The sequence below is a fragment of the Homo sapiens genome, chromosome 5 (genome assembly GCF_000001405.40).
Source record: "Homo sapiens chromosome 5, GRCh38.p14 Primary Assembly".
Classification (NCBI taxonomy): domain Eukaryota; kingdom Metazoa; phylum Chordata; class Mammalia; order Primates; family Hominidae; genus Homo; species Homo sapiens.
In genome coordinates, this window is record NC_000005.10 from 154,025,842 (window position 1) to 154,038,944 (window position 13,103).

The 13,103-nt window shown below is 37.9% G+C and overlaps 1 protein-coding gene across 15 annotated transcripts in view; it reads right to left on the reverse strand.

Annotated features, from left to right (window-relative positions):
- Positions 1–13,069, reverse strand: part of FAM114A2 (family with sequence similarity 114 member A2) — a 48,763-nt gene extending 35,694 nt beyond the window's left edge. For 2 of the 15 annotated variants that reach the window (XR_007058573.1, NM_018691.4), the window contains exons 1-8: positions 13,016–13,069; positions 8,903–9,126; positions 8,437–8,536; positions 7,950–8,042; positions 3,648–3,739; positions 2,308–2,442; positions 1,335–1,493; positions 558–681 (exon numbers count right to left, since the gene is read on the reverse strand). Coding sequence is in view for 13 of the 15 variants with exons in the window: in NM_018691.4 (NP_061161.2) it covers positions 558–681; positions 1,335–1,493; positions 2,308–2,442; positions 3,648–3,739; positions 7,950–8,042; positions 8,437–8,536; positions 8,903–9,112 (913 nt within the window). In the remaining 2 variants the exon portion in view is untranslated. Of the gene's footprint in view, positions 1–557; positions 682–1,334; positions 1,494–2,307; positions 2,443–3,647; positions 3,740–7,949; positions 8,043–8,436; positions 8,537–8,902; positions 9,127–10,400 lie in introns of all 15 variants that reach the window. The other 13 variants (XR_007058574.1, XM_017008967.3, XM_047416658.1 and 10 more) reach the window with 12 other exon arrangements.
- Positions 13,070–13,103: the final 34 nt, after the last annotated feature.

A 13,103-nucleotide genomic window follows, 5' to 3' on the forward strand; every position in this document is an offset into this window, starting at 1 on the left:
TTCCTGATAATTTTGCAAATATACATAGTATCTACATTTACATTTTCTGAGAAATGAAGATATTAAAATATGGTATAAGAGTTTTCAAAATAAAAAAAGACAAACTATCACCCACATTTTAGATAACTGCCATCCTGCATGCTTCAATTCAAGACAGAATCAGGGGTTACAAGAGTCAGAGAGGCAGAGGTAAAGTACCTAGGAATATGAAAGCTCATATGAATGACCAGTCAAACTGAGGCAAGAATCTGATGAGAACAGCTTTCTAACTGCAAAAATAGGCAAAGATGTGAGTTGCAAGATTAGACCTTGAGAAGCCACAAAGGGTTTGGTTGGAAGGAGGCAGGGAGACATGGGCATAAGGCCAACTGCCCCCATCAATGCCTAGTCAGGTGCAAGGCTGCAGAGAATTTTACACAGAGAATTTGCATAAAAATTTTCACCAAAAAAGTAAAATCAAGCCAGTGTAATAAGAGTAAATAATTTATTTCAAGGGCAATGCACTGCATACAAACACACTGCATCCTCTCCACTCAGATACTAAATTTTCATATTACCTTTTTTCTCTTCTTCCTCTTCTTCACAAAATTCTGCTAGAGAAAATGTTTCTTTGAGTTGCTCTAATTCAACTTTTAGAGTCTCTAATTCTTCTCCACTCAGAGAATTAAGGATAGATTTCACCTGAATGGATACAAGAACAAAATGTTGTAGGAGTATGAAAGAAAAGAAAAACATTCACAAATAGGGAAGAGACTATAAAAAGATCATATTGAAGTCAAAATTATGAGCTCATCAGCCAGCACAAGTTATTCCTTAAGAACCTTAACACAAGAGGCTGGTTATGACAGAAAGGTAGGGAGACTCTGTGCTTCTAAAAGTAATACCAGCCAGAAATTCCTGGAAATTATCAGTGTTTAGCAACAGCTTAGAAATAACAAAAAAATTAGATAATCTTAAATCAATTAAAAGCTAACAGGTAACTGTACACAAATTGGCAGCTCAAGTCAACAGGTTTCTTGGCAGCCTAGGCCAAAGAAACTAAAAAAAAAAAAAAAAGACCAAAACGAAGGAAAAATAACACATGTCCTATTAAGACCTCTTTGTTAACCTTTTTTGTTTAAATTTAAAGAAATAATACTTGACTAATTCTGCTTTTAGCAATTAGTTCAATCAAACATTAGTTTTTAAATTTATTTTGTGGTAGTATTTCGAAGGCATCTCAAGCCTCTAACAAAACATACACTTCATCTTCCAAATGTACAAAGAGAAAGGAAACCATGCAGCATTCTTTTACTTGAAGACTTTTTCCAGTTGAGATTTTGGCTTGGAATTACCTTTATTTCACTTTCTTGGGAAAGCATCTCCAGAGCTTCTAGATGTGAAAGGCCTTGAAATTCATCAAAGAGTAGCCCATAATGAGTTTTCTTGTCTGTTTCCACGGTAACCTCATTGGAGGTCCGTATCTCTTCTTTCTCCTTCGCCTCTCGTAAAACCTAAAAAGAGATGGAGGCATTACACTGTAGCAAACAATGAGAGCTCAAGGGTGAGTTCTGAGAATTGAAGGAAGCAAAGCTTAGACAGGTTAGAGTACAGAGGATTGCCCTTTCATTCTTGGCACTGCTATTCAAATCTGGTGGGCTCAGGAGCTGCAGAAAGAAAAACGATCACACATAATTTGAGACGGAGTTTCACTCTGTCACCCAGGCTGGAGTGCAGTGGCACGATCTCTGCTCACTGCAACCTCTGCCTCTCGGGTTTAAGCTATTCTCGTGTTTCAGCCTCCCAAGTAGCTGGGATTATAGGCATACGCCACCACGTCCAGCTAATTTTGGTATTTTTAGAAGAGACGGGGTTTCATCATGTTGGTCAGGTTGATCTTGTACTCCTGACCTCAACTGATTCACCTACCTCGGCCTCCCAAAGTGCTGGTATTACAGCCGTGAGCCACCGTGCCTGACCACATAATTTGATCCTAGACAGTGCAAATCACACCCAAGGAACCAGGTGTTTCTCTGAAAGTGATTTAAACATTAAAACAAACAAACAAACAAACAAAAAACCCTGACAGGGTTTAGCATTTTGCACTGCACTGATGGGAGGCTCCTGCAGAAAGAGGAGGAGAAAAAGAGCTGGGTATTTTTGTAAGCAGTAGAGCTCTCACCCATCCCTGATCCCCCCAAAAAAACGCCTGAATAAACATTATTGAAAATGCTTGAAAAGAAAACACTAACAAGGTTCCAAGTAAACAAAGGCAAAAATACAGATCAAAACAGAAACAGGAAGTAAACAGGTAAGGATAATCAGTACCTGAGATAGTGTAGCATTTCGGTTCATCAGACCCTTGGTTCTTTTAAATCCAGGATCCCCTTCTGCTATCACATCCATTGTCTTTTTTCCAATGAATTCTAAGGCATCCAAACCCCCACTTATAACACTCTTTCCCTAGAAAATACATGCAACCTCATTACAACAATATTAAGAAAACATATTTTTATGCATTTTTATTATGTATTTATTATATAAAAATAGTGGCTAACAATACCAAGCACTGGCAAGAATGTAAAGCAAATGAAACAATCACACACTGCTTGTGGGAACGTAAATAGGTATAACCACATTAGAAAACTGTTTGTCAATATCTACTCCAGCTGCATGACCCAGAAATTCCACTCATGGTTACATCCTAACAGAAATAAGTACAGAGGTTCATCAGAAGACATGCACAAAAATGTTCATAACAGCTCTGCTTGTAATAGCTACAAACTGAAAACTACCCCAATGCTCACCAACTGTGGAATGAATAAATAAAACGTGACAAAGCTTCACAATGAAATACAACAAAGAAAATCAAATCTACCACACAAACTGCAGCATAGGTAAATTATACAAATATAATGTTGCATGAAAGAAGTTAGATACTATATATGATTCCACTTATGTAAAGCTGAAATGCAGGCAAAATTAACCTATGATGGTGGAAGTCAGGATTATGGTTATCTTGGTGCAGGAGAGGGGGAGAGCAGAAGACACAGAAAACTGGGAGAGGACACAAGATGGTGGGGAGATCTGATTACGGTAATACTGTTTCTTACTCTGGGTGTTTCACACTGAAAATTCAAACAACACTTGTTACATTCTTCTGTATGTATATTTCAATAAAAAGTTAAAATTTAAAAAAAACTAGCTATCTATCCTCATGTAGCAAAGATATTTAGCTTCCTAGATAATCCTCTTACAAATGTTTTTAATCATACATAGTTTTGCAAATATCTGTCATAAAGATCACATTTCCCCTTTGCCTAAAAGATGCAACTATGAGAAAAATATTTTTGTAAAGTAGACATTTTTTAGGGCCACCAAATTAAGAATTCCTAATCCATAAAATAATACGTATATTGCCTCTCTGTAACTCCTACTCCCTTATTTATTGCTACTCCTTTATTTCCTACTTTCTTCCTTATTGCTTTAATGAAAGTTTTCAAGTAGCATTCACTCCACCCATAAGACCAAAGTGACCGATCTTCAGTGGCTTGGACTCCTTTAAAAGTAATCAGTCCACATGGCTGTTCAAAGAAAAGAGAGAGAAAGATATGCAAACCCATTATAATAATGGAAAGGAACAGACCACCTTGCACTTTTTTACTTACTGTGCTCTGAACAGCAGTAGAGATGGTAGAGAATACACCAAATGCCCCAGCCACTGGGGAGGAGTTTTCATTCTCTTTGGCATTTGTCTCTCCTACAAGAGGGAGGGGATGTGTAAACATGAAGGGAAGGTCCCTTAACTCTCAGGCTTTATTAGCATCTATGTGAATTTTTTAAAACTAGACCCTGCTTACTACATACTAGGCCTTAGCCCTTTTTATCATTTTAAACCATTTGCTTATTTTAAAATGAAAGCTAAGATAGGCAGTTTTCATTTTCTTTTCATTTCGAAAATAAAATCCAGTTTTGTAAACAAACTGCTGATATATACAACAGCCTATATGTTGTATGATTCCAATTATATAATCTTCTGGACAAGGTCAAACTGTAAGGTCAGAAAACAGATCAGTAATTGCTAAGAACTGAGAGTAAGGAGAACAGTGACTACAAAAGGACGTGAGAGAACCTTTTTGGGGTAATAAAAATTTTCTTATGTCTCAATTATCAATACAGATATAGGAAACATTCTATATATCTGTATTGATCATTCTATATAGAATGTTTTCTATATCTGTATAATCACAGTGTACTATGATTACACAGTATAAACAGAAGTATATATACTGATCAAAACATGTAAAACTGTACACCTAAAAAGAATAAATTTTACTGTGTGTAAATTATAATTTGATAAACCTGATTTTTAAAAATCCAGTCTATTTTAAATTTTATCCTAGAAAATTATGATTAGTAGAAATCAAACAGACATACATTACAAAGATAGGTATGTTTCAAAACAAAAATCCATTAACTTAAAAATTTCACATAGGAGAACAACCATTATACCAAATAATTTCAGTATTATCAAATATTATAGAGAGGACTTCCACTTCTAGCATGATGGATTAACTGGTATTAGATATGACCTCCTGCCACAACAACTGAAAAACTGGACAATATATAAGAAGCAACTGTCTTCAGACATAGGACAATAGGCAGTACAAGACTTCGGTTCACACAAGAAGAACAACAAAGTAAACCTTACAATTGGCTTGGCTTTCTGTATAGAGGAGCTTTCCAGGCCATGACAGAGGGAGGAGAAACCCAAGTAGGGCATGGCAATCAGTTTGAGTGGAAGAAACGGAGACTGGAATCTGGGAATGCTGAAGCAATCGGAATTTGCAGGTCAGAAAACCGTAGAGGAGGAAGCTACATAGCTAAAAAGTTCTAAGAATCCGCATAGGCATGCCCTAAGACACCTTTAGGTGTTTTTGCTTAAATACTGCACTGCTGAGGCACTGGGAGGCTCCATAAGTCTGTACAAAGAACTACCATGGAGCTCTAAGCTAAGCAATCCCCAGAGCTCACGCTAGGCTGAGAGACATTTGACCTCCAACCACAAAAGCAGAGACTTTATATTAAACACCTGGGAATTAAGGTGGAGACTTCGGAAGAGTCAAGCCTTAGCAGCAGAGATAAACAGTACTTAGTTAGAGTAAAGGCCACTATAGACTCACCCTAAACAAGCTTTACAAAAAGTCTTGGCCAGACACAGCAGCTTATACCTGTAATCCCAGCACTTTGGGAGGCCGAGGCAAGAGGATCACTTGAGGTCAGGAGTTTGAGACCAGCCTGGCCAACACAGCAAAACCTCACCTCTATTAAAAGTACAAAAATTAGCCAGGCATGGTGGCCCATGCTTGCAATCCCAGCTATTTGGGAGGCTGAGGCAGGAGAAGAACTTGAACCCAAGAGGCAGAGGCTGCAGTGAGCTGAGATCGCACCACTGTACTTCAGCCTGGGCGACAGAGTGAGACTCCCTCTCCAAAAAAAAAAAAAAAAGCCTTAAAGCATCAATTTAAGTTGCAAATACCTTAACTGCCCGCCGACAAAAGGAAAGCAGAAGATAGCCCCCTTTAAAGGAAGAAAACAAAATCCCTAATAGATGATCAATGATTTCCATCAATGGCCTATGCTTATCTCAAAATTCTGAAAATATACATGTTGACTACAAGACACATCCTTGGCAGAGGAATTAACCTCCTTCCTCAGGAACTTTAGAAGATAGAAGGGGTTTAGTATCAAAAGGCAGTCCATTGTAATTTTGGAAAGTTCTCCCTGTTAAACTCTTTATTAAACTAAAACTTAACTCTATATAACTTCCACTGAGTGGTACTAGTTACTAGTTCTCCCCATAAACCATGAATAATAAACCTAATCCTCTTCTCCATGCTAGTCTTCAGAAAAAGACCAGGATATTCTCCCAATCTCCCTTCTCCAGATTACCAGATTCAATCTCTTATAAGACTTTCTCTTGTAAGACTTTAATTCTAGACATTTCACTATTGTGAAAGAAAATAAAACTCAGGACCCCAAATTTACTATGCCAAAGGGAACAGTTAAGCTGAAAGCTAAGTTACACAAAAACTGTCTTTCCTTTTGTTCCTAAGCAGAAAGGCCAGACAGAAGGCCAGATGTTTCCACAGGTAGCTACTCTACGTTTACTTTATTTCATGTAAACTGCCAATTTACTGAGCATAAGACAAATACATAATTGACTCTACCTCTGCTCTTTCCTTTTACACGTAAAATGTGGATTCAGTGAACACTGATCAAAGATTCAAAAGAAGGCAACCACTTGCCCCTCTTATCTACCCTCCCCTTTCTTTACTTCCTCTTTCCCCTAGAGCCCACTCTTCTTCCTTTAAATATTGAAGTCACCAGACCCTCTTCAAAAAAAGTATGGAAGGTAGATTGTTTCTGTGGTTTGTGTTCCTTTTTCCCAGGTGCATCCTCAAACTTAGCAAAATAAACCTCTAACTTGATTGAGACCTGTCTCAGACACTTTTTGATTCACACTATCTAGCTGACTCTTTTCTGGATTCACCCAGTTTTTCAAAGCCCTTCTTAAAACATGGCCCTCTGTGGTAGATATCTTTCAGTGTCATGAAGATGCTGCTGTTAACATATTCAAAGCCACTTCTAACCCCCTTTTTCCTTGGCTGCTAAACCCATATCCTGATCTTGAGGTTTCTGATAATGCCCAAAACGCACTCTCTCAGCATCTCTTGCTGCTACATCAAGAACATGAGATCCTGTTCTAGGCAATGGCATTGGAGAAGAAACATGCTTGGGACTCCTGGAAAACATTTCCCCTCTTTAAAGAAAGAGGGATGCATGAGGAAAAATGACACTTCCCATCTACTTCATTCCTGACTTTGAGCATGGTTATTTTAGAACACTATACTTGGAGTTGCAGTATTATCGGACAACCATAAAGAAACTATAAAGAAATCAACAAAGAATACTGTAGAGAAGCCAGCCCAGAACCTTGACATCATTGAGCCACTAAACTAACTCTGGAACAGCCTACTTCTAGAGTCCTTAAGTAAGAAAAATATATTGACTTTCATTCACACATGCTGTTACTTGCAGCTAAAATAGTTTAACTGATGCAGGCATCACTAAGAACAGTGCCTCCAGTTCACATCCATAGTCCTTTGCAGCCATGTTTATACATGTGACTTGTCTCCAGGCCATAAGTGATCCATGGACATATGACCCAAGTTTAGACTGATTCTTTTACCTAGGAATTCAGAAGTGGAAATAACTGATGCCAGGATTCAATATAAAGCTGGAGCTGAGGAAAATAAGCAGCGAAAGTCAGTCTGCTTCAAGAAAAAAACTGAGACAGATCAGCAAAAAGAAACAAGAGTGAGAGACAATAAAGCCCATGAGAGATGAAGAATGCAAACCAGGCCTTGAAAAGATTCCTATTTTCTGGTCCCAGGCCCTCTCGATTTCTGGTTATAATTCTAGCCTTCATAGTTTGAGAGTAGGTTTCTGTCTGATCAAGGCTAGCCTCTAGAATTAAACGTAGTCTTCATAAAAATCTGAACACAAAAGGAATACACCCCCAAAACAATACATTAAAATATTTTTATCATGTCACAACAGACTCAGATTCAGCTAACTCTTATTAGTCTCTTATTCAATTATGCCAAGCAAAATGCTAAGCAATTTTTATATTGTATATTCATGGCCTTATTTGTTAAATGTTTATAACAGTCACTTGAGATATAAAATATCATTCTATTTCAGATGTGGAAAGTGAAGTAAAGGGACACATAAGCAGTTAAAGGACATAGATGTCTAATTGGGAACTAAAGATTCTAAATACTCTTTCTCACTACAGTCCCACGATGCCCTGAGTATCAGATGTCCAATAAATACCTACTGAAAAATTAGTTCAACTGTTCCATTTCAATTCATAATTCTAGGTCTTTATGTTTCCATATACTGACCTGCTACATACTTGACTTCAGTTGAAATTTCACTGGGACCAGGGATTCCAAGGGAAGTCTCTGCCTTCTCGATGACATTTGAAATGCCTTGTCCTAATGAGAAAAATAACTTTTTTTTTTGCTATTTGTCACCAAAACTGAAGAAACAAAAATCAAACTTGAAGATTTTTAAAATCATTTAGGACCACAAGACATGTTATTTTGACAATACATAACTAATCTTGGCACTATTTCCTTAAAAAAATTGATTCATCATCACCAAAGAATAAGTTCACAGTAATAATTCCTAGACTTCAATATTCTAATGAGGAAATGCTACAAACTCTAGTGGCAGTATATATCAGCCCATCATTACTAATGCATCCTCAAATTATAAAGCCTTTGAGTAAACATGGAAGGAAGAAGAATTTTAACCAAGTCATATGCAATGCAGATCTGTATAAAATAAATACACACACAAAAATAACTAAATGACTGATGATCTTACCTACTGTAGCTACTGTAGCCGAGGCTGAGGAGAGTATGGACTTGCCCCAGCTCCCCCAATAACCCCATCTGGTCTGGGGTACATCTTTGGAAACATTATCCTAATTTCCCAGTAGGCAGAAAAACAAAAGGCAAAGAAAAATGAAAAAATTAGAGGAAAATCAGAATGTACAGACAAGGTATCTAATTATTAGCCAAAAGCATGGGTGAACAAATACATATTATTTAGCTAAAGAAATGTATTGCTTGACTGGCAGATATATGCTATCAGCATGTAAGTACCACATAGCAAAAGCAATTATTCATAAAGGCATTTATAGAACTGAAAAGACTGTATTTTAGGGTTGTAAAGAGAAAGAAATAAGAGCAATTCTAAATTGGTATTTATGCCAAATTTCTTTTAGCCCCAACATTTTTTAATCCTAATATTTTAATAGATACCCTACTTTTTCTGTGGTCTGTGATACCTGAATAGGGAGAACTTTTGAAGTCTCAAGGTCACTGGAAGGTTTGGTCTCTGGTCTTTTCCGAGTGGAAACTACAGGTTCTGATTTACTCTCTGGTTTGGCACCTTGGTCAACAGACTCAGAATTCTTGGCTGGCTCACAGTTTCCATCTTCAAGGATGGGGGCTGCTTCAGTTAGCAGTGGAGTCTCAATATCATCTTTATCTGACATGATTAGAACATCAGCTGGTAAAATGAAAGCCCAAAAAAAATTTATATAGGCTTCTTTGGTATAAAGTATTTGTTTAAACTTTTTAGTTTGAGATTATCATAGATTCACATACAAGTATAAGGAATAATACAGAGATCCCATATACCTTCATCCAGTTTCCCCCAATGGTAAAACTTACACAAATATAATATCACAACCAGGAAACTGATATCAATGCAATCCACTGATCTCATTCAGACTTTATCAGTTTTAAACGCACTCATTTGTATTTAGTTCTATAAAATTTTATCGCATGTATACCTTTGTGTGACTATCACCACAATCAAGATACAGAACAGTTCAATCACAAGGATCCCTTGTGCTATCCTTTTTTAGCCATAACCACTTCCGACACTCCTTCCAACCCAAAGCAATTACTGATCTCTCTGATGGACAGGTGTCCTCCATCTCTGTAATTCTGTCATTTCAAGATGTTATATAAATGAAATCATACAGCATATTACCTATTGACATTGACTTTTTTCACTCAGCATAAGCCCCTCAAGATCCATTTAAGTTGTATTAGTATTCCTTCCTTTTTATTTCTGAGTAGTATTCCATAGTATAGATGTATCACAATTTACCCATTTATCCATCGAAGGATATCTGTATTGTTTCCAGTTTGGGACTATTATAAATAAAACAGCTATGAAAGTTCATGTATAGGTTTTTGGGGGAACATAAGCTATCATTTCTCTGGGGTAAATGACCAAGAGTGCAACTGCTGGGTCATATGGTTAAGTTCATGTTTAGTTTTATGAGAAACTGCCATACTCTTTTCCAGACTAGCTACACCATTTTACATTTCCACCAGCAATGTATGACTGATAAGTTTTTCTGCATTCTTGCCAGCATTTGACATTGTCCCTATTTTTTATTTGAGCCATTCTGACAGTTGTGTGGTGATATCTCATTGTGGATTTAAGTTGTACTTCTCTAAGACCTAATAAGGTTGAACATCTTTTCATGTGCCTATATGCCATCTGTATATCCTTGTCAGTGAAATATCTTTGTATCTTTTGCCCATTTTCTAATGAGATTTTTTTTTTACTGTTGAGTTTTGAGAGCTCTTCATATATTCTGTATAATATGTGGTTTGCAAATATTTTTTTCCAGTATGTAGCTTATCTTTTAATTGTCTTCATTGGGCCTTTCAGAGCAAGTCTTTAATTTTAATGAGGTATAATTTATCAATTTTTCCTTTTACTTATTGTCCTTAAAAATCTTACTAGTTATTAATCATTCCTACCTCAATTTTTCCAGGACATCATGAAATTTAAGCCATCAGATTGGCTTTATGTCAGATCAACTTTTGAATACCAGTGTTACTCAATTCAATTCCTTCCAGATGTAGAGCTCTTTGGCAATTAAAGCCAAGATACTATTGGTGTCTCTACAAAGAACAGACACTAGTTTCCAGGATAACCAAGGATTATCAGAGTAGAAATCAATACATCTCACACATATGTACACACACGCTGTAGGTATGTACTGATATGTACTAAGTGCAGAATTAGACCCAACCCATGCTATCAAAATGTTTCTAATGTATTAGAAAAGAAAGGCATATTAAAACTAAGGCAGACTGGATGCAGCACTATAACAGGTGCTGCATTCAGTCCAACACACAAAATGCTGAAACATCCCTGCCAGACCATCCAACACACAAAATGCTGAAAAAAAACAGAACTCCATTAGAATCAGACAACGTAATTCATGAACAAAGTACCTGAAATAAGCCTAGAGTAGTGGTCACAAACTGGGAATTTAAGTGCCAAATCCAGCCTACAGATGTTTTTATTTGGCCTGCACAGTATTTAACCTTTGCAAAAACTAGATGCCAACATTTAAAAATCAGACTTCATATAAAAATATAGGCTTCCAACTTCTAACTTGTAAAATTAAAAGATCTAGCAACACCGGGCCCACATTCAACTCTGTAATAACTAGCTTGTGCTAAATAGCCGCTGGGCCCTTTTAGCTAGGGCAGTTGCTCTCCAGCTCCCTACAATCCCCCACGCAAATCCACTTCACTCAAATTATGCTACCTGATTAACCTCTGTAGGCATCTGAGTTGGCAACACCTGCCTTAAAAGAAGCTTATGATTTTGACAGATGATGATGCCAATGACAGGATTCAAGGATATGGAAATAACATGAGGGTACAGCCAAAGGCCTGAGGTCTGACAGTATGGAACATGGACAGTTACAGTAGGGAGTAGTTACCATGGCAGAGAGAAGAACAATGGGAAGGCATGAAGCTAGAAAGGTAGATTAAGACAACACTATGGAGTTCAGAATATATGGGCATATAATATAAACACATTACACATTTCCAAAACACATAGAGAAAAAATCCAGATACAACTACTCACTGACATACAAACCAACTTAGAAGTAGCCATTCATTCACTCGCAAACATTTTTTGAGTACCTACTACGTACCAAGTAGTACCACAGTACCTGTGGAGATAGAGAACTAATGTAAGCCATTCACTCCAAGGGCCTATCTAATAGGAAAGACGAGACAGTTTTTGCACAAAGTTCAATTAATGTTTTGTGTATATGAATAAATGTTTCCTATCTTTTCCTTATGCTCTCTCCAGGTTGCAACGCATCATTATCATCATCATAAATATATACAGTATACTATATGTAGAATATATAATATACATATTACATAAATTCATATAATTCCATGAAAGACTGGAAGGACATACTCCAAAATATATTTTTAAAGACAGGGTCTCGCTATGTTGGCCAGGTTGGTCTTGAACCCTAGGCCTGGCCTCAAGCAATCTTCCCCTGCCTCAGCCTCCCAAAGTGCTAAAATTACAGGCGTGAGCCACCATGCCCTGCCAAAACAGTCCCTTTACTAAAATATTAAACACTGGTTATCTCTATTCTTTCATTTGTGCCAGATATTTGAGCTAAGCCAGAAGAGAATTTTTTATGGTGATGGTTGTTTATATTATCATTACTATCGTTATTAGAATGACTGTACCATCTCTTTCCTCAACTCATTCATAATCTAGGAGAAAGGTTAAAAAAAAAAAAGGAATAAACACCAAGTACGTGGAACTGCACTATTTAGTGTTTTTGTAAGTCTTCCAGGCATTGTGTAGTAAGCGTGTAGAAATAATTGTAGTTTCTCCTCCAGTTATTTTCTCAGTTGGAGGAGAAAGATTCCAATAACTGTAAATAAATACGGCTGAGCCATATTTTTAAGAAATAAAAACGCATACGCTTACACACACACATATATATTACGTATATATACACTCCACCCGCCCCATTTACCAAAATGAAGAGCAGTACAGCTTAGTAGCTAAGAGCACGGGCTCTGGAGTTTACTTTCTTCCTGTCCTGCAGCGATTGTGGGGAAGTCAGGTCACCTGTCTGCCTCTCCGTTTCCTCATCTGTCAAATGGAGTTCTGGGTCCCTATAAAGATTCAGTGACGCGATATGTGAGGGGCTTGGAACAGTGACCGGCACGTAACCGCCCACAGGTTAACAGCTGCTATCACTTGGTGGGGTGATGGTTTGTATCCTATCGTTATTAATACGGCTGTCTCTAGATGAGCAAACATGCGCTCTCACTTCTTCCCACATTCAAGAATGGGGTCCCAAACGAGAGATTCGACGTAAACGTCCGCTCCCAACTAAGTTCTCAGGCGCTGACAACGACAAGAATTCCTCACACAAACGTAGCGCTTCAATCACTAAACCGCTTTCACAGCCCTCGACCCTGCCGCGAGATGTCCGCCGCCCACCGTCAGGTCACCGCCTCCCTAACGACTTCGGCTGCCCGGGCCCTGCCCCTGAACCTCGCACCCCTCCTGCCTCGTTCAGGAAGCTCCGCACCTATCCGGCCGCCACCCTCAGCACAGCCACGGCAGCCGACTCGGCGTTCCTACTGCCCCGGAAGTGCTCCTTCAGCGCAGAGGCGTGC